The sequence below is a fragment of the Homo sapiens genome, chromosome 2, assembly GCF_000001405.40.
Source record: "Homo sapiens chromosome 2, GRCh38.p14 Primary Assembly".
In the NCBI taxonomy this organism is placed as follows: Eukaryota; Metazoa; Chordata; class Mammalia; order Primates; family Hominidae; genus Homo; species Homo sapiens.
In genome coordinates, this window is record NC_000002.12 from 95,957,229 (window position 1) to 95,978,917 (window position 21,689).

General features: G+C 35.8%; 1 protein-coding gene across 2 annotated transcripts in view; it reads right to left on the reverse strand.

Moving 5' to 3' along the window:
• The window catches only part of ANKRD36C (ankyrin repeat domain 36C), a 142,893-nt gene that overhangs the window by 108,297 nt on the left and 12,907 nt on the right, over positions 1-21,689 (reverse strand). For both annotated transcript variants that reach the window (NM_001310154.3, NM_001393982.1), the window contains exons 6-12: positions 20,894-20,961; positions 5,291-5,319; positions 5,124-5,196; positions 3,411-3,439; positions 3,245-3,317; positions 1,529-1,557; positions 1,363-1,435 (exon numbers count right to left, since the gene is read on the reverse strand). In NM_001310154.3, the coding sequence (NP_001297083.1) occupies positions 1,363-1,435; positions 1,529-1,557; positions 3,245-3,317; positions 3,411-3,439; positions 5,124-5,196; positions 5,291-5,319; positions 20,894-20,961 (374 nt within the window). The remainder of the gene's footprint in view (positions 1-1,362; positions 1,436-1,528; positions 1,558-3,244; positions 3,318-3,410; positions 3,440-5,123; positions 5,197-5,290; positions 5,320-20,893; positions 20,962-21,689) is intronic.

Here is a 21,689-nt window from a genome sequence, read left to right on the forward strand (position 1 = left end):
ACTTGAACCCAGAAGGTGAAAGTTGAAGTGAGCCAGGATCACGCATGTCTTTCATACAAGACATCAGAAGGATTTAAACCATTATACTACAAATATTCATCATGCTCTTTGACTTGCCTGACAATTCAGCAGGTACACAATGACAATTACACTTTAGATGAATGTACAATTCAAAGCTCCTCAGTGGAAGTGTCCTGAATTGGTCAGCTTGGATATATGTTTGGTGAATCCTATTATATGCTATTCATTATTTTTCATACCCATGTGGTATAATAATGAGCCTACACTTTTGTATTTTCTGGTTTAACCTTCAGAAACTTTTGTCAGTAACTCATGGGAACAAGGTATAATATACAAACCTAATAAAAATGTATAAAAAATTATCAAATTTGATATACTTACACAAAATAAAGTTGCTACAAGCATTACATCTGAATAAGGTTGTCCATTTGGAAATCACTCCAATATTCAATAAAAATAAATATTTTAGGTGTCAATTAAAGAATTTAACATTATTTTTGTTTCTAAAATAGTCTGGTTTGAAGGATCATGTCATTCTCTAAAGTATTTTCATTAAATTGCTATTTTATCCAAAAGTTAGCTCTCTGAACAACAAAGCCAATGTATGCATATTTACATTTATCTCATTTGACTAACTGATAACAACAAAACTTATACCTCTGATGCCCAGTAATAACAAAGAGGGGTAACAGGTGACTGTGGTTCATCACAATTCTAGCACTCTATCCTGCTTCCAGTAGTTCCAGGAGCAGCCAAAATCAAATTTTCCTTTATGCAAACATTCTAAATGCATCTGAAGTGAGTTCCCTCAGGTTTCCTCAGCAGAAACACTAAAATTAAATAAATAACTTCTTTTCCCTTCTTCCTGCCTCACAATCCCTCTTCCCTGAGGAAAATAATTACTACATCAGTGGTCTCATTACTTCTCGTTCTATAGTTTTTATGGCTTTTTACGATCACTTCTTCCCTCCGGTTTTAGCAATGTGATCAGGCGCCTACAATTTCTAGTACTTCATCTTGTTCTCCTTCCTGTCTTGATGGAGATACGCTGTAGAATTAAAGCAAAATTATGCTGTCCCCTCAGCCTGTTGTATCTTGAACTGCTCTCCAATGGTTCTTCTTCCCAATTTCAATGTAGGGAAGTCTATAATCTTACTACTCAGATCATGGACAAAAATCAGCAGAATCACCATCACTCAAGAACTTATTACAAATGCAGAATCTCAGGCCCGCTGAATCAGAATGCGCAGCTTCAATGAGCCCCCTGCTGATTTATTCGGGGAAGGGAAGTTCTCCTCTATCTTCAGTGTACATGGCATTAAATGTGTATTGCAAAATTACCTGTCCCAGATTTTTGTTCATCTTTTATTTCTGTGGCTGTGTTCGAAACAGAATCGTTCTTGTCACTTGTATCCTGAATGGGATTTCAAACAAAATAATCAATACCTAAAGTATATTTCATAGACTATACAGTTAATTATTCAAAATATGAATGAGAGTATAATACCTTCAAGGCCGGTTGTTTCTGAGAAGACACTGAAAACCAGAAGGGATACATAATCACTCATATGTAAATATGATAAAGTTATCCATACTTTCATGCAGTGTTACCATCAAGCTGTATCCTCCTGCCTGAATTAGCATAGGCTTTGATGTTTTCTACTTTGTGTATTGGGACAGGAACATGACAGAATTACACTGTAGAAAACAGAAGTATAGTCTTCACGCAACAAACACTTCCAATTTCATATGTGATATTATTCTTCATATGTCTATTACTGCAATAAAACAGTGTCTATATCAATGTGGATATGCCGAGTGATGAGGACAAATGTGATCTAAAATCAGAGCAGCGACTCATACACTTGGGAATCAATGTCAAAGCAGGTGATTAATGCTCCTGCATGTTTTTCATGTAACACATCAGAGGGATTTATACCATTATACTACAAATATTTATCATGTTCTTAAACTTGCCTGACAATTGAGCAGGTAAACAAGGACAATGGCACTTTAGTTGAATGTACACTTCCCAAGTGCTCTGTGGAAGTGTTCTGAATTGATCAGCTTAAATATATGTTTGGTGAATCCTAGCATATAATATTCCTTATTTCTCACACCGCTGTGGAGTCATAATGTGCCTACATTTCTTCTATCCTCTAGTTTAGCCTTCAGAAAGTTTATTCATCCACTCATGGCAAGAAGGTATAATATATAAACCTCATCAAAAAGTATAATAAACCATCAAATTTGGCATACTTATACAAAATAAAGTTACTGAAAGCATTAGATATGAATAAGCTTTTCCATTTGGAAATTGCTCTCATATTCATTGAAAATAACCACTTTAGGAGTCAATTAATGAATTCAACATTATTTTTCTTTCTAAAATAGTCTGGTTTGAAGGATCATGTCATTCTCTAAAGTATTTTCATTAAATTGCTATTTTGTCCAAAAGTTAGCTCTCTGAACAACAAAGCCAATGTATGCATATTTACATTTATCTCATTTGACTAACTGATAACAACAAAACATATATCTCTGATGCCCAATAATAACAAAGAGGGTTAACAGGTGACTGTGGTTCATCACAATTCTAGCACTCTATCCTGCTTCCAGTAGTTCCAGGAGCAGCCAAAATCAAATTTTCCTTTATGCAAACATTCTAAATGCATCTGAAGTGAGTTCCCTCAGGTTTCCTCAGCAGAAACACTAAAATTAAATAAATAACTTCTTTTCCCTTCTTCCTGCCTCACAATCCCTCTTCCCTGAGGAAAATAATTACAACATCAGTGGTCTTGTTACTTCTCATTCTATAGTGTTTATGGCTTATTACGATCACTTCTTCCCTCTGGTTTTAGCAATGTGATCAGGCGCCTATAATTTCTAGTACTTCATCTTATTCTCCTTCCCCTCTTGATGGAGACATGCTGTAGAATTAAAGCAAAATTATGCTGTCCCCTCAGCCTGTTGTATCTTGAACTGCTCTCCAATGGTTCTTCTTCCCAATTTCAGTGTAGGGAAGTCTATAGTCTTACTACTCAGATCATGGACAAAAATCAGCAGAATCACCATCACTCAAGAACTTATTACAAACGCAGAATCTCAGGCCCGCTGAATCAGAATGTGCAGCTTCAATGAGCCCCCTGCTGATTTATTCGGGGAAGGGAAGTTCTCCTCTATCTTCAGTGAACGTGGCATTAAATGTGTATTGCAAAATTACCTGTCCCAGATTTTTGTTCATCTTTTATTTCTGTGGCTGTGTTCGAAACAGAATCGTTCTTGTCACTTGTACCCTGAATGGGATTTCAAACAAAATAATCAATACCTAAAGTATATTTCATAGACTATACAGTTAATTATTCAAAATATGAATGAGAGTATAATACCTTCAAGGCCGGTTGTTTCTGAGAAGACACTGAAAACCAGAAGGGATACATAATCACTCATATGTAAATATGATAAAGTTATCCATACTTTCATGCAGTGTTACCATCAAGCTGTATCCTCCTGCCTGAATTAGCATAGGCTTTGATGTTTTCTACTTTGTGTATTGGGACAGGAACATGACAGAATTACACTGTAGAAAACAGAAGTATAGTCTTCACGCAACAAACACTTCCAATTTCATATGTGATATTATTCTTCATATGTCTATTACTGCAATAAAACAGTGTCTTTATCAATGTGGATATGCCGAGTGATGAGGACAAATGTGATCTAAAATCAGAGCAGCAACTCATACACTTGGGAATCAATGTCGAAGCAGGTGATTAATGCTCCTGCATGTTTTTCATGTAACACATCAGAGGGATTTATACCATTATACTACAAATATTTATCATGTTCTTAAACTTGCCTGACAATTGAGCAGGTACACAATGACAATGGCACTTTAGTTGAATGTACACTTCCCAAGTGCTCTGTGGAAGTGTCCCGAATTGATCAGCTTAAATATATGTTTGGTGAATCCTAGCATATAATATTCTTTATTTCTCACACCGCTGTGGAGTCATAATGTGCCTACATTTCTTTTATCCTCTAGTTTAGCCTTCAGAAAGTTTCTTCATCCACTCATGGCAAGAAAGTATAATATATAAACCTCATCAAAAAGTATAATAAACCATCAAATTTAGCATACTTATACAAAATAAAGTTACTGTACGCATTAGATATGAATAAGCTTTTCCATTTGGAAAATGCTCTCATATTCATTGAAAATAACCACTTTAGGAGTCAATTAATGAATTCAACATTATTTTTCTTTCTAAAATAGTCTGGTTTGAAGGATCATGTTATTCTCTAAAGTATTTTCATTAAATTGCTATTTTATCCAAAAGTTAGTTCCTTGAAAAACAAAGCCAATATATGCATATTCATGATTAGCCTATTTGAATAGCTAATACCAACAAAACATATATCTCTGATGCCCAATAGTTACAAAGAGGGGTAATGTGTCACTGTGGGTTATCACAATTCTAGCAATCTAGCCTGCTTCCAGTAGTTCCTGGAGCAGCCAAAATCTAATCTTCTTTTATGCAAATATTCCAAATGCATCTGAAGTGAGTCCCATCAGGTTTCTGCAGCAGAAACCCCAAAATTACATAAATAACATCTTCTTTTCCCTCCTTCTTTCCTCTCAATCCCTCTTCCTTGAGTAAAATAATTACCACATCAGAGGTCTGCTTAGTTCTCTTTCTACATTGTTTATGGGTTATTCCAATCAGTTCTTCCATGTGGTTTTAACAATCTGATCTGACACCTATAATTTTTATTACTTAATCTCTTTCTCCTTCCCTTTATGATGGAAACATGCTGTAGAATTAAAGTAAGAATATGCTGTCCCTTAGCCTGTTATATCTTGCACTGCTCTCCAATCATTCCTGCCAATTTCACTGTGGGGAAGAACATAATCTTACTACTCAGATCATGGCCAAGGACCAGTAGCATCGGCGTCACCCAAGAACTTATTACAAAAGCAGAATCTCAGGCCTGCTGAATCAGAATGTGCAGATTCAATGAGCTCCCTGCGATTTATTCAGGGAACAGCAGTTCCCTTCTATCCTGAGTGAACATGACATTAGATGTGTATTCCAAAATACCTGTCCCAGATTTTTGTCCATCCTTTATTTCTGTGGCTATATTCGAGATAGAATCTTCCTTGCCACTTGTAGCCTGAGTGGGATTTGAAACAAAATAATCAATACGTAAAGTATTTTTCACAGACTATATAGTTAATAGTTCAAAACAGAAATGAATGTGTAATTACCTTCAAGGCTGGTTGTTTCTGAGAAGACACTGAAAAGCAAAAGGGATACATCATCAATCATAGGTAAATATGATACAATTATCCATACATTCATGCACTGTTACCATCAAGCTGTATCCTCCTGCCCCTATTAGTTTAGGTTTTTATGTTTTATACTTTGTGTCTTGGGACTGGAACATGACAGAAATACACTGAAGAAAACACCAATACAGGCTTCATGAAAAATACACTTACAATTTCAAACGTGATATGATTTTTCATATGTCTAAAACTAAAATGAAACAGTGTCAGTATCATTGTGGATATATGGAGGGATAAAAACAAATGTGGTCTAAAAACAGAGGAGCAACTCATGCACCTGCGAATCAATGTCAAAGCAGGTGGTACATGCTGTCACATGTCTTTAGTGCAAGAGATGAGAAGGAAATACACCATTATACTACAACCATTCATCATGCTCTTTAACTTGCCTGATAACTGAGAAGGTACACAATTATGATGACACTTCAGCTGAATGTACACTTCACATCTCCTCAGTGGAAGTGTCCTAAATTGATCAGCTTGGATATATGTTTGGTGAATCCTAGTGGACAGTATTCATTATTTCTCAGAACCATGTGGTGTAATAATTGCCCAAGTTTCTTGTGTTCTCTAGTTCAGCCTTCTGAAAGTTTTTTCATCCACTCATGGCAATAAGGTATAATATATAAACCTCAATAAAAAGTATCATCATTTATCAATATTGACATACTTCTACAAAATAAAACTGCTACAAGCATTAGATATTAATAAGCTTTCACATTTGGAAATGACTCCAATATTCATTGAAAATAACCATTTTATTAATCAATTAATGGATTCAACATTATTTTTGTTTCTAAAATAGTCTGGTTTGAAGTATCATGTTATTCTCTGAAGAATTTTCATTAAATTGCTATTGCATCCAAAAGTTAGCTCCTTGAAAAACAAAGCCAATGTATGCACATTCATGTTTATTTCATTTGAATAACTAATATCAACAAAATCTATGTCTCTGATTCCCAATAGTAACAAAGAGAAGTAACGAGTCACTGTGGTTTATCTGAATTCTAGTACTCTTTCCTTCTGCCAGTAGTTTCTGGAGCAGCCAAAATCAAATCATCTTTTATGCAAATATTCTAAATGCATCTGAAGTGAGTTCAGTTATACTTAGAGTCATAATTTAAAAAATCATTTTCTTTGTACTCATGAAGGCTCCTAATATTCCTACATTTCCCGGATTCAGCAGTTCAGCTCTTTTGCCATCTCTTTTTCCACTTTTGCAAAAACATACATGTCAAAGAAATCATGCATAATCAGATTCCCATGTAAATAAGGTAAACAAAATCTCTAAATCACAAGAGACTTCTTTTCTTATTAATAACCAACCAAATATATACATATATAAATATATATATATAAATATATATATATAAATATATATATATATATATATATATATATATATATATATATATGTGTGTGTGTGTCATGATTGCCAAGAATATTGGTAGTTTTTTTTAGTACTCAAGATATACATTCTTTTATTACTTTGTTTCTAAAGCTAGTTTGATATAATATACCATAGGGGTCTCTCAGGTCCTTTTATGAAATAAATACCTCAGCCAACACAGCTTTCCTAAAGAAAAAAAAAAAAACACTTTTTCTAGATTAAGCTGCAACCCAATATGCTAACTGATGTGAACGAAGCACATATCATTGATGTGCAAAACTTCTAGGGAGGAGAAATGAAACCCTGTGGGTCACCCTCATCCTTCTAACTTCCACTTTCCATTAAGTGACTCCCCAAAGTCTCCTCATCAGAAACCTCCAAATTACCTAGCTAGCTGCTTTCTTTGTTCTGCCCAATTTGACATACACTCTTTTTCGTTCATAAATCGAATAACCATATTGGTGGACTTCATTCTTTGCCCTCCACATTCACTTCTTCATTATTCTCACCACTACTGTATGTGACATTTGTACAATCCCATTCTGACACATGTGAAGATAAGGTTTTGCTTTACTAAAATGTTAAATGTATCAGACACTTGACTAACGTGTACAAATTCCTTCTTCACAAAAGCAGCCCCATGGCTTCCTCTCTCCCATAGACACTCTTTCACAGCTGTTCTTCACTCACATTGGTTTGAGTATCTATCATCTCTTATTTTGTCTCTATGCTTTCACATCATATTATGAGTTATTATCATAGGCTCAGCAGCCTATCTTACCTATTTTCCTCTCCAGCAGACAGTACTGAGTAGTAAATTAGAATCTTCCAGGATATGAACCCTTTCATGTACACAAGACTTTGTGGAGCTATTTTATGTTTAACTACACATAAAACCACTATGTCTATGCCTTCCAGAGAAATGGGTTCTGAAATGTTATTGAACATAACCTATTTAAAAACTTCTTTAACTCCAATGACACTGCCTCTCCTCAATGCACCAACATCTTCAGAAATAACTTGTGAAGACTTGAAAACATGTCAGTAATTGACATGAAAAATGAAGAATGGTGTAATTTTTTGCAGGTACAAATAAGACACGCTGAGATCCTTACTAGATCCAAGAAGAGCAGAGTGCCATGAGACAGCAAATAAATATGGAACAGAAATATTTTCATTTGTAATGAAAATTATTCTATTTACAGTTTTCAGAAGAGAAAAAATACACACACACACACAAACACACACACACATTCACACACAAAAACCAGAGCAATACAGCTTTACAGGGTGTTTTTTCTTCAAGGGCCTATTTGTCATTTGACATCCGGGAACACTCTATAGGGATCAACAAAGGGGTTCTAAATTGTGACCTGAGTAGATTAGAGTTTAACATTCATGAGGGGGAGCCAAGAGGACAAGTAACACTTTGACCATTGGCCATTTCCTCTCCTTACTGTCATTCTCTGAAAAGCACACAATGGATTTTCTCAGGGTCATGACATGTCGAAAAGACATGCTTTAAGGGGGAAACAGTTGCAATCAACACAGCCATGGGAGAGATACAGCTATGCTTGCTAGGATTTCCCATACTTCTGTTTCATTTCTAATATAGTACAAATCAATAAAAGCAACCACATAAGCATATCCATGCTGGTATGTCACCATATTTATGTCCATATGGTATCAACATGAAGAGAGCATAATTAAATATGCTGCAGTCATCACATGGCATATCATTAGATCATACAATAAATCAAATACCTCACTGGGTCAACATGGATAGATCTGATATATATATATATCACTGATTTTACAAAGACCAAGTTGCAGTCATTGTGTGTACTGTCTGAACTTTTCTACAAGGTTTTAATACACAAAATCAAGTTCTACATGTTATCTAGGAATATGCACATATGTTGTAAGAGGTTTTTAATGTGCATTTGGGTGATTTCTTTTTCTTTTTTAAAAAAAATTTAATTCAAGTTCTTGGTTACATGTCGTCAATAAGTTTTAGTAGTATAGAGAACCCTAAAACCATAACAGCTCAGAATGACTGCCTTAAAGGCTATGTCTACCAAAGAGTCAGGAAAGCATGACTACTTACTTTCTTCATTTTTAAAACTCAGAGGTACCCCACACACACTCCCAAATAAAACTGCACACAAGTTCTTTAGTTTAATTAGATCCCATTTGTCAATTTTGGCTTTTGTTGCCATTGCTTTTGGTGTTTTAGTCATGAAGTATTTGCCCATGCCTATGTCCTGAATGGTACTGCCTAGGTTTTCATCCAGGGTTTTTATACATTGAGAACTTACTTTTAAGTCTTTAATGCATCTTGAGTTAATTTTTGTATAAAGTGTAAGGAAGGGGTCCAGTTTCAGTTTCCTGCACAAGGCTAGCCAGTTTTCCCAACACAATTTATTAAATAGGGAATCCTTACCCCATTCCTTTTGTCAGGTTTGTCAAAGATCAGATGGTGTCGATGTATGGCATTATTTCTGAGGCCTCTGTTCTGTTCCATTGGTCTATATATCTCTTTTGGTACCAGTACCATGCTGTTTTCATTACTGTAGCCTTGTAGTATATTTTGAAGGCAGGTAGCATGATGCCTCCAAATTTGTTCTTTTTGCTTAGGATTGTCTTGGCTATATGGGCTCTTTTTTTGGTTCCATATGAAATTTAAAGTAGTTTTTTCTAATTCTGTGAAGAAAGTCAATGGTAGCTTGATGGGTATAGCATTGAACCTACAAATTACTTTGGGCAGTATGGCCATTTTCAAGATATTGATTCTTTCTAACCATGAGCATGGAGTGATTTTCCATTTGTTTGTGTCCTCTTATTTCCTTGAGTGGTGGTTTGTAGTTCTCCTTAAAGAGGTCCTTCAAATCCCTTGTGAGTTGTATTCCTTGCTATTTTATTCTCTTTGTAGGAATTGTGTATGGGAGTTCACTCATGATTTAGTGCTCTATTACTGGTGTATAGGAATGCTTGTGAATTTTGCACATTGACTTTGTATCCTGAGACTATGAGGAAGTTGCTTATCAGCTGAAGGAGATTTGGGGCTGAGACAATTTGGTTTTCTAAATATACCATCATGTCATCTGCAAACAGAGACAATTTGATTTCCTTTCTTCCTATTTGAATACCGTTTATTTCTTTCTCTTGCCTGATTACCCTGGCCAGAACTTCCAATACTATGATCAGAGTGAAGAGGCAACCTACAGAATGGGAGGAAATGTTTGCAATCTGTCCATCTGACAAAGGCCTAATATCTAGAATCTACAAGGAACTTAAATAAATTTACAAGAAATGATCTCATCAAAAAGTGGGCAAAGGATATGAACAGACACTTCTCAAAAGAATACATTTATGCAGCCAAGAAACATCTGAAAAAAAGCTCATCATCACTGATCATTAGAGAAATGCAAACCAAAACCACAATAAGATACCATCTCACGCCATTTAGAATGGCAATCGTTAAAAGGTCAGGAAACAACAGATGCTGGAGCAGATGTGGAGAAATACGAATGCTTTTACACTGTTGGTGGGAGTGTCAATTAGTTCAACCATTGTGGAAGACAGTGTGGTGATTCCTCAAGGATCTAGAACCAGAAATACCATTTGAGCCAGTAATCACATTACTGGGCATATACTCGGTGTGTGTGTGTGTGTATATATATATATGTACAGTGGCTCGTTCCTGTAATCTCAGCTACTCAGAAGGCTGAGGCAGAAGTATCACTTGAGAAGCCCAGGAGTTTGAAAACAGACTGGGCAACATAGCAAGACTCTTTATTAAAAAAAAATCATGCAGGCTGGGCACAGTGGCTCATGCCTGTGATCTCAGCATTTTGGGAGGCCAAGGTGGGTGGATCACATGAAGTCAAAAGTTTGAGACCAGCCTGGCCAAACATGGTGAAACCCCATCTCAACAAAAATACAAAAAAAAATTAGCTGAGTGTGGTGGCACACGTATGTAATCCCAGCTACTCGGGAGGCCGAAACATGAGAATCGCTTGAACCCAGGAGGCAGAGGTTGCAGTGAGCCAAGATTGTGCCATTCCACTCCAGCCAGGGTGACAAAGTGAGACTTCATCTCAAAAGAAAAAAAAATCATGAACTTTTGTACATGCCTTAGACCTTGTAGGAAAAAAAGTATAAGACTTTGATGCTTTATTACAGAGACTCTCATGATTTGTTACAAAGCAGTTCTTTAGAAACATACTTGGAGGCTATACTAAAATTATTATTTATACTATTTGTAGGCAACTAATGAATTAAGAACTCTTATTTCCTTTCTTATGTGCTTAGCATATACTTATCAAATGCAAAGAAGAATATATTATCAAAATTTGTTACCTTATATGTGAATTGCAGTATAAAATAGTCATAATTCTAACAGAATCCTATCACACTGACAGAAAATGGCATCATTAGTAGAATCAATATAATGAGCAGGCATTATCAAAGAACATGATTTCTGGACAAATGAACCAGGTGCAGCTAGAACAGCAGTCCCCCTTATCTGCTGTATGTGTAGAAAACACATATTCAACATGATGTTCCTCTTCTCTCACACCGCAACAACAATCATCAACACAGAAGATTTCTGTGACCAAATATGTATTTTTCCCCAGCAACAAGCAAACAATCAATTCCTATGGGTGCCCTGTAATTCTGGCACTATCTACTTGGGGATTGTGTCAGATCCCACAGGTTGAGGGCTTAGTACCACAAGGCTATTCCCCCACAGCAGTTACAAGTCTGGGCCTCCAGAACTTCTAATCAACTTCCAGTTGGACTTCAAGTTGGGTTTCCCAGGACCCCCTCTTTGGTTTGATTAATTTACTAGAGTGGCTCAGAGAACTCATGGAAACATATTTACCAGTTTCTTATAAAGAATATTAAAGGATACAGATAAAGAGATGCATAGTGCAAGATATGGGGGGAAAGTAACATGCTTCCATGTCCTCCCAGGGCACTCACCCTCTGGGAACATCCATGTATTCTCCATATGCCTTCATGTATTGGAGAGGATCCAGGCAGCTGAATACAGCTACCTGGATGCTCTCCAAATCCAATCCTTTTGGGATTTTATGAAAGCTTCATTACATAGGCATGACTGATTAATTGAACATTCAGCCCCTCTCACATCCCAGGAGGTGAGGGGTGGGGCTGGAAGTCCCAACCCTCTAATCACACCCTGATCACTCTGATGATGAGCCCCACCCTGAAGCCATCTGGAGGCTGCCTGCCATAAGTCAATCATTAGCATACAAATGATATCATGTTGGAAATTCTGAGGATTTTAGGAGTTGTATGACAGAAAATGGGGTTGAAGACCAAATATATATTTCATAATATGACATTGGTGGTTTTACTGACTGCAGATTCAGTTACCCATGGTCAACCATGGTCCATAAATAAAATTCCAGATGTATACACATCATAATGTTTAAATTGCCTAAGATTCTGAGTAGTATGACAAAATTTGAGCCATTACATCCCAGTCTGCCCAAGATGTGAATCGTCCCTTTGTCAAGTGCATACACATTATATATGATATCTACTCACTAGTCATTGACATAATCTGTACCTAACATCCAACCAACAATATCGTCATGGTTCACGGATCCAAGATCACGTGAAGCAGATGATCTTCTTTCTGACATATAGTCAAATAGAAGGTCAATAGTAGCCTAAGACTACATGGCAATGCCTACTGCATTTGCCTCACTTATCACATAGCCATTTTATCATCTCACATCAGTGCAGAAAGTAGGGTGACTATAGTACATGATATTTTGTGAGCTCACATTCACATAACTTTTATTACAGTATATTGTTACAATTGATCCACTTTACCATTAGATATTATTAATCTCTTATTGTGCCTAATTTATGCATTAAATTTTATTATAGATATATATATATTTTTATAAATTATTGTACACATAGAGTTCAGCACTATTCATGTTTTCAGGCATTCACTAAGGGTCTTGAAATCTATCCCCCATGTGTAAGAGGAAATTACTGTACTTATTTTGTTGAAACACAACAGTTTCTCCACCTCTTCAGTTTAAACTATTTAGGATAAAGCACTCTAATTCAAAAAATCTAGATCTATGAAAACTGTACTCTGTTCTATGGCAAAACACAGGATACAGAGCAGGGTCAAGGATCCCTGCAAAGACTTTTCAGCTGCCAATGCAGAAGAGCCTAAGAGAGATCAGTGTCCTTACTCTCACTAATCCTCTCCTAGGGAAGATTCTGGTAGTTTGCTTAGTTCTAGCTATTCATTCACCCTATGTAGGGCACAAACAATCCTTAAATTCAGCTTTCATTTTTAGCTCCTTCAAAAAAACACACACAGAGAAAATATCACTCCCTTAAAAGCTTATCCAATCTGAGTCTTGTTTCCTTGTCAGAGAGAAGCTTATAAAGAAATACTGGGAATGGTATGGCAAGTTGCCAGGGAGTACTTTCTAATATATAAAATATATATAAAGGAACCATAAACTCACTGGAGCTACCAAGATGTGCCAACAGTTGTCTCCCTACCTAGTGGGAAAAACAACAACAACAACAACAAATCTTTGTCACTTTATGTAAACAAAAATAGTATGACTCTCTTGGCATTTTTCATGATGGAGAACCTAGTTATAAGTGAGTCATGTTATAATAATATAGACTGTTTTCAAAGTGATCCCTCAAAGAAAGAAGGTGAATAAGAAACATATTTGTATGCCTACAGTATTCACTAGCTGGTCTTATTTCCAACTGCAAGGTAAATAGGAAAGACTTTCTGACTCCAGTTTTATAAAGTACAACCTCTTGAGATTGTCCCTTTCCACTGCTAGTCTATCTGGACCCATCTCACAGAGAAGGATGAACCAGTTAGTGCTGTGTAGTACACAGCATGAAGTCATTTTCCTCAACCCTCCCCATTATGTGGCAAATGTCTATATAAATTATGCTTTTTCAACATGTAAAGCATATGCCATTAAATCCTACATTAATAAACTAAAAGCAAAAAAGCACAATGGATGGCTTAATTGAATACATTCAACTGTCTTGGAAATTATGTTCTGTAATATAGAAAAAGATATCCACTATGTTATCCTTAATATATGACTATGCTGGACATATCAAAACTATGGGGACAGCAAAAATATTAGTAGTTGACAGGGGTTAGTTGTGAGGGAGGAATAAAAAAAGAGAGACAAATTTCAGGGCAGTGAAAGTATTCTAATGGCGGGTACATTTATTATACATTTGTCCAGCTTTATAGAAGGTATATTTAAATATAAATATAAACTATGGACTTTGGGTGATTATTATGATGCAACAATGTAAGCTTCTCAGTTGTAACAAATGTACCACTCAGGTGGGAGATATTGATAATGGGGGGAGCTATGCATGTGAGGGGGGATGGCGTATATCAAAAATCTCTTTAGGTTCTTTTCAATATTGCTGAGAATATAAAACTGCTCTTAAAATAAAGTTATTAATTTTTTAAAAAGATTTTCACTGAATCTTCTATTACTAATATATTGCTATATTACCATATATTATAGCAAGATGTACTCAATTTGAAACACAATATGAATATTCTCTCCAGAATTATAGTATATAAAAGTACATAAAGCAAATAACTTAACTGTATTAACAGGCAAGAAAATAACTGATAAATGATTGATTTTTTTAATTTCATAATTATAAACAGAAATTTAACAAAATATAAAACAAAACTGAACCATCTATATAATTAAAATGAAACAAATTTTTTTATTTTAATTTTAAATGAGAAATCATTACTTATTTTATCTAACCATTTTACTGAAAGGTTAATCGAATAAGAACAGACTATAATTACCTAATATTGCCATAGTAACTTCTGTATAGAAACCTGTTAAATATTCACCAAAATTCCAAAATCTAACAGCACAGAAACTTAGTATTTCATATTAAGTTGCAACTGACGCAAATGAAATAAGCACCATGCTATGTTATATTACCATGTTATTCACTATCAAATAGAATTTTTAAGACACCTAAAATTAAGTTGGGGCTGTAACTGCTGTGAAGAAAATAATTCATATAACAGTCATAAGACTGTCATTCTTAGAAAGGCCTACATGCAAAACTGGCCCTTTGCTGGTGTTTGGAAATTTGCATTTTAAAGGTTTGTCACCATTTCCTGAGAAAAGTAGCTCACTATACCTAAACTGTTTGCATAAACAATGTGGTTGACTCTGAACAGCTGCTTTTCTTCTGGAAGTGTGGAATTTTTGTATATGTGTGAGACAGAATGCCTATGTAACTAGTTTCCATAAGAACCTGGGATACTGTGTAAGTCTCTAGTCAGACTCATACTGGTAGACAATATTGCCCATGTGATGTCAAAATTCGAAGCTACAGGAATTCAGCACATCCTGGTAACTCCACAGGAGAGGGCTCCCGGAAGCTTGTGCCTGGCTTCCCCAAGACTTGCCACATGCCCCTTTGCCCTGAGCCAATTTTACTATGTATTCTTTCACTGTAACAAATCAAAGCCCAGAGTAGCACTGTTTGCTGAGTCCTTCTAAGTGAATCGCCAAACACAGAGGTGGTCTTGGGAAACTCTGACATAGTGGCATTATATGAAATTAGTTTTCTTTAAGGTGATGTGACCTCTGACTACGATCAGAAGGCTGTTTATAAAACACCTTTCCCTAATCTGTTCTCCTTAACAGTTGCCTTTGAGATTCCTGTATTTCCGCATGAATAAATCCATAAAGGAATAGAAATAATTATGCCAAAAAATAATGAAAAACAAGCAGCAATCCTATTTTAACCAGAATAAAAATTTGAGAATATGGATGATTAAAAATATATCCCATAGTATGAAAGCTTCTAGAAGAGAAACAAAAAGATCACAGCCAATTGTCTTCAACTCACCAAGGTTTCTTTTATAATAACTGGGGATCAGGCCAGGTGCAATGACACACACCTGTAGTCCCAACTACTCCAACGGCTGAGGCAGGAAGATTGCTTGAGATCAAAAGTTTGAGGCTGCAGTGGAGATTGTGCCTGTGAACAACCATTGCACTCCAGCCTGGGAAACAGAGTGAGACCCTGTCTCTAAAATGTATTAGTAGGCTGGGGGCGGTGGCTCACACCTGTAATCCAAACACTTTGGGAGGCTGGGGCGGGCGGATCACAAGGTCAGGAGATGGAGACCATCCTGGCTAACACGGTGAAACCCCGTCTCTACTAAAAATATAAAAATTAGCTGGGCGTGGTGGTGCATGCCTGTAGTCCCAACTACTTGGGAGGCTGAGGCAGGAGAAGCGCTTGAACCCAGGAGGCAGAGTTTGCAGTGAGCCAAGATTGTGCCACCGCACTCCAGCCTGGGCAACAGAGCGAGACTCAGTCTCAAAAAAAAAAATCTATTAATAAAAACATACATAAAATAATTTGCATCATTCAGGTCATTGTGATAATTATAGAAATATATGTAGCCATTGGCTATAATACTGTACTATCGATCATAGAGCTCATTTAATTTGTTTCTAATCTTTTTTCTTAAGTTCTTATAAAACTAAAAATATCTATTAAAACTAAAAATCATCTGTTAAGGGCAGTTCTTCATAGAACAGGTCGAAAAGTCAAAAACTGCATTTAAAATGTAGGATGAGTTATCCACTTCTGCTCCCAAACAGTGGGTTTTTCTTATTAAGGGCCAATAGGACTTTAAACTCATTTTGGGGAATAAAGGAAGTTATAGACCAGCACGATGGCTCGTAACTATAATTCCAGCACTTTGGGAGGCTAAGGCAGGAGGATCACTTGAAGCCAAAAGTTTGAGACTGGCCTGGGTAAGAGAGAGAGACCCTTGTCTCTAAAAAATAAAAAATAAAAAAGTTAGCTTGGTGTGGTGGCATATGCTTGTAGCAGTATCAGCGACTTAGGAGGCTGAGGTAGGAGGACCACCTGAACCCAGAAGTTTGAGGCTGCAGTGAGCTATGATCACACTATTGTGCTCTAGCCTGGGAAACAGCAAAAGACTCAATCTCAAAAAAAAAAAAAAATCAAGAAACTTATATATAGATGGTTAAAGGTGTGGTAATCCAACTGACCAAATATTCCAGCTAAGTAACAGATTACCAATATTTGAAGAAATATAATACCAGAAAAGTGTTTTACATTAAAACTATGTCAAGTTTGAAAATTTAAAAGACACCTTAAGTGTCTTAACTTAATTTGAAAATTTAAAAGACATTTAAAGTTTGAAAATTTAAAAGAAACTTAAAATCTTAAAGGAGCAGCATCACTTACACTGTCACTGTGCTAAAGATATAAAGAAGTTTAGCATTAAAGATTAATAGAATACCAGATATACTTTAGAATAGGTAGCTAATTCTCTTAAAAGAAAATCCTATATAGTTGTCAAAAATACCTGTGTTAGAAATGTGTTCTAATAATATTTTCTTTAGGGATGAAATTCAAAAGAAAACAGTAAAAGCAGAGATATTACAAGAGGTCATGAAAAGGGAATTGCACTAAAACAAAGTGTCCCAGAACACAGAGACTTGGTATACTTAGCATATCATCTTACATTTTTCTCCATGATGTTATATAAAAGACGTCAGCTTCTCCAAACTGCTGGTCTGTAGGCTACTTCTTTTTTTTTTATACTTTAAGTTTTAGGGTACATGTGCACAACGTGAAGGTTTGTTACATATGTATACATGTGCCATGTTGGTGTGCTGCACCCAATACCTCATCATTTAGCATTAGGTAGATCTCCTAATGCTATCCCTCCCCCCTCCCCCCACCCCACAACAGTCCCTGGTGTGTGATGTTCCCCTTCCTGTGTCCATGTGTTCTCATTGTTCAATTCCCACCTATGAGTGAGAACATGTGGTGTTTGGTTTTTTGTCCTTGCCATAGTTTGCTTAGAATGATGGTTTCCAGCTTTATCCATGTCCCTACAAAGGACATAAACTCATCATTTCTTATGGCTGCATAGTATTCCATGGTGTATATGTGCCACATTTTCTTAATCCAGTCTATCAGTGTTGGACATTTGGGTTGGTTCCATGTCTTTGCTATTGTGAATAGCTACAAACCACTGCTCAATGAAATAAAAGAGGATACAAACAAATGGAAGAACATTCCATTCTCATGGGTAGGAAGAATCAATATCGTGAAAATGGCCATACTGCCCAAGGTAATTTATAGATTCAATGCCATCCCAGCAACCTACCAATGACTTTCTTCACAGAATTGGAAAAAACTACTTTAAAGTTCATATGGAACCAAAAAAGAGCCCACATCACCAAGTCAATCCTAAGCCAAAAGAATAAAGCTGGAGGCATCACACTACCTGACTTCAAACTATACTACAAGGCTACAGTAACCAAAACAGCATGGTACTGGTACCAAAACAGAGATATAGACCAATGGAACAGAACAGAGCCATCAGAAATAATGCTGCATGTCTACAACTATCGATCTTTGACAAACCTGAGAAAAACAAGCAATGGGGAAAGGATTCCCTATTTAATAAATGGTGCTGGGAAAACTGGCTAGCCATATGTAGAAAGCTGAAACTGGATCCCTTCCTTACATCTTATACAAAAATTAATTCAAGATGGATTAAAGACTTACACGTTAGACCTAAAACCATAAAAACCCTAAAAGAAAACCTAGGCAATACCATTCAGGACACAGGCATGGGCAAGGACTTCATGTCTAAAACACCAAAAGCAACGGCAACAAAAGCCAAATATGACACATGGGATCTAATTAAACGAAAGAGCTTCTGCCCATCAAAAGAAACTACCATCAGAGTGAACAGGCAACCTACAGAATGAGAGAAAATTTTTGCAACTTACTCATCTGACAAAGGGCTAATATCCAGAATCTACAATGAACTCAAACAAATTTACAAGAAAAAAACAAACAACCCCATCAAAAAGTGGGCGAAGGATATGAACAGACACTTCTCAAAAGAAGACATTTATGCAGCCAAAAAAACACATGAAAAAATGCTCATCATCACTGGCCATCAGAGAAATGCAAATCAAAACCACAATGAGATACCATCTCACACCAGTTAGAATGGCGATCATTAAAAAGTCAGGAAACAACAGGTGCTGGACAGGATGTGGAGAAATAGGAACACTTTTACTCTGTTGGTGGGACTGTAAACTAGTTCAACCATTGTGGAAGTCAGTGTGGCGATTCCTCAGGGATCTAGAACTAGAAATACCATTTGACCCAGCCATCCCATTACTGGGTATACACCCAAAGGATTATAAATCATGCTGCTATAAAGACACATGCACATGTCTGTAGACTACTTCTGATTGAAACTTGAAACTCTCGAAATGCGGCTGTGTTATGATTCCATGTTGGAGAGAGTCGGGATGTATGTGCTTTGGACAAGGTGGTTCCAGTTACTGCTGCCAGACTTTTGTTTCAGAATGCATCCAGAAGAACTTATCAGGGGTTTCAGTACAAACTAAGTATTTCCACAAGGAGCAGATAAGAAGACCACAGTTTTTCTCACACATTACCCTTAGGTTTTGACAATTCTGTAAAAGCGTGGGCACATGTACTCAGAAGTCAAGACCATTTTCCCTGACCCTGTGCACGTAGCTTCTGCAGTTACAAAAGGGTTACGCAGGATCTTGGTAGATTTGTTCCTCCATATTTGGACAACAGACATACCAATCATATCAATAGCCCACATTACACCTCAAAAATGGTTCTTTTGAAAAGGGTACCGCCAAAGAGCTTTTAAAAGTTAAATCTAATTGGCTTTTGAGTAATCTTACTTGTTAGAATTCATACTCCCTCCTTAAAATTCTCACTTTTTTTATTTTTGCAACATCACTTCCTCTGACTCCTCTCCTACTTTTCTCTAGCCACTGCTCATTCTCCTTCACCAACTCTTTTTTTCCTGGGGGTGTGGAGGGAAAGTTCACATTCCCAGGGTTTTGTCACAGGATAGCTTCTCATTCTACATCTGCATCATGGACAGCTCATTGAGATCGATGACTTTGCCTAATAATTATAATAACATCATTCTACGTCTGCATCTCCAACCTCAGATTTGGAGGGAAGGGAAGTTATTCTTCCCTGTTGACCAGCTGTACTTCTCCAGTCAGTGAACATGTCCTACTCCTTTCTTGTGTGCAGTATAAAGGCCAGTACACAACCTGGAAACCTATGAATGATCCAAGATTTCTCTCTCCCCACTAATGTTTTACATTCAATGTTCACTAAATCATATTAACTGTACCTCTTTTCTGCTTCTGCTTTATATTTCTACTGCCACCAAATAAATATGTTTATATTTCCTAGATCAACATGGCCTCTTCACTGATGGTTTTCACAGGAAAAAAATTCCCTATCAACTATTATTGTTTTTTTATAAATAAAAAATTAAGTAAAACAAATAAAGAAGGCATACGGGCAAGAAAAAGACCAACATTTTAAAATGAGTAAATGGAGTAAATTTACTTTATTTTACCATGGATGGGTGAACACCTTACACTAGATTGATAGTAGTTCAAGCATCGAACTACAAGCAAACTAAAGCTTCAACTACTGCAAAAGCTTCCTTTCTCTAGCTTACTTTCTTGTATTCAGAATACAATATATAATATATACAACATACCAAATATGTATTTTCAACAGCATGGGGATTGGCAGCACTAAATCCCATGTTGTTCAAGGGCCAACTGTAATTATTGATTCATTTAGTAATTGCAAAGAATTTATTTTACAAATTAAATAGAAGTTCTAATTATATAAAAAGTCTAATTCATTATCATGTGACTATAAAAAAATACAACATAATAACTTAAAAATTTGTTTTCTTATTTACACAAAAAGATCATCTAGAATATTAGGAACCATAATTAAATAATAATTTTTTTCATACAATACTGAGATTATAAATTACCTACAATTAACTTTTTAAATAATTATAAAATCTAGACTACTAAGTATTTTTTAAATGTGTGCAATTTAAACAGTGATTTTTTTAAACTGCTTTTTTGTAATCAAAACATCTTTATTCTTTTTTATCTATGGTAGTACCATCAAGAGTAATTCACTATCAGAAATCTTACCTGGATTGCTATTTATAGAAAGCTCTTCATGTTTCTTTCTTTCATATTCATAAATTAGTTCAAAAATGCTATGCATAAAAATAAATGAAATTAATATTTTAATACTATTATCAAAAACATTTACCAAATATACTAAATTATTAGAGTATCTTGAACAATATCAGGATGTTAATTATCCTATACACTTCTCTTCTGTAAGCTCTACAAACTTCTTAGTACCTTTCTAATTAAATAATAATAACAGGTGAAGTACTCATGAAGTGAAGGCAGTATAGCTCAGCAAACTATCTCACATCAGCTTGACACAATGGAAAGTCACCTTCCTGGCTCTTACTGGAAGGTCCTGGCTCTATAGCCAACAGGTATTTGCTCTTAAACAAGTTGCTTCTCTTAGGCACAATGTCTTCTTCTAGATTTTACTATCTCCTTTCACTAGGTTGTTAAATAGGTTTAATGAAGTAGCATTTTTAACATTCACAGAGAAATAGTAAAGCAGTGGAGCTTGTTCTTGAACTTTATCGCTGAAACTATTTTGAAATCCCAAATCAAACCCAATGTGTATTTTTTCATAGGTTCTAATATTCAAATGCTTCAGTTTAAGAAAAATGTTAAGTCCTAATTTTGCTTATTGTTCTATTATTTGTGGCTTATAATTCAGGTTATCTCAACTATTTCTTAATTCATAAATAAATTAATTTATGAATACATTATTTCATTAAAATAGGTAACACGATTGTTAACTATTATTGAGCTCATCAATTCCAAGGGCAGAAAACTAACAGATGTCAAGATCTGG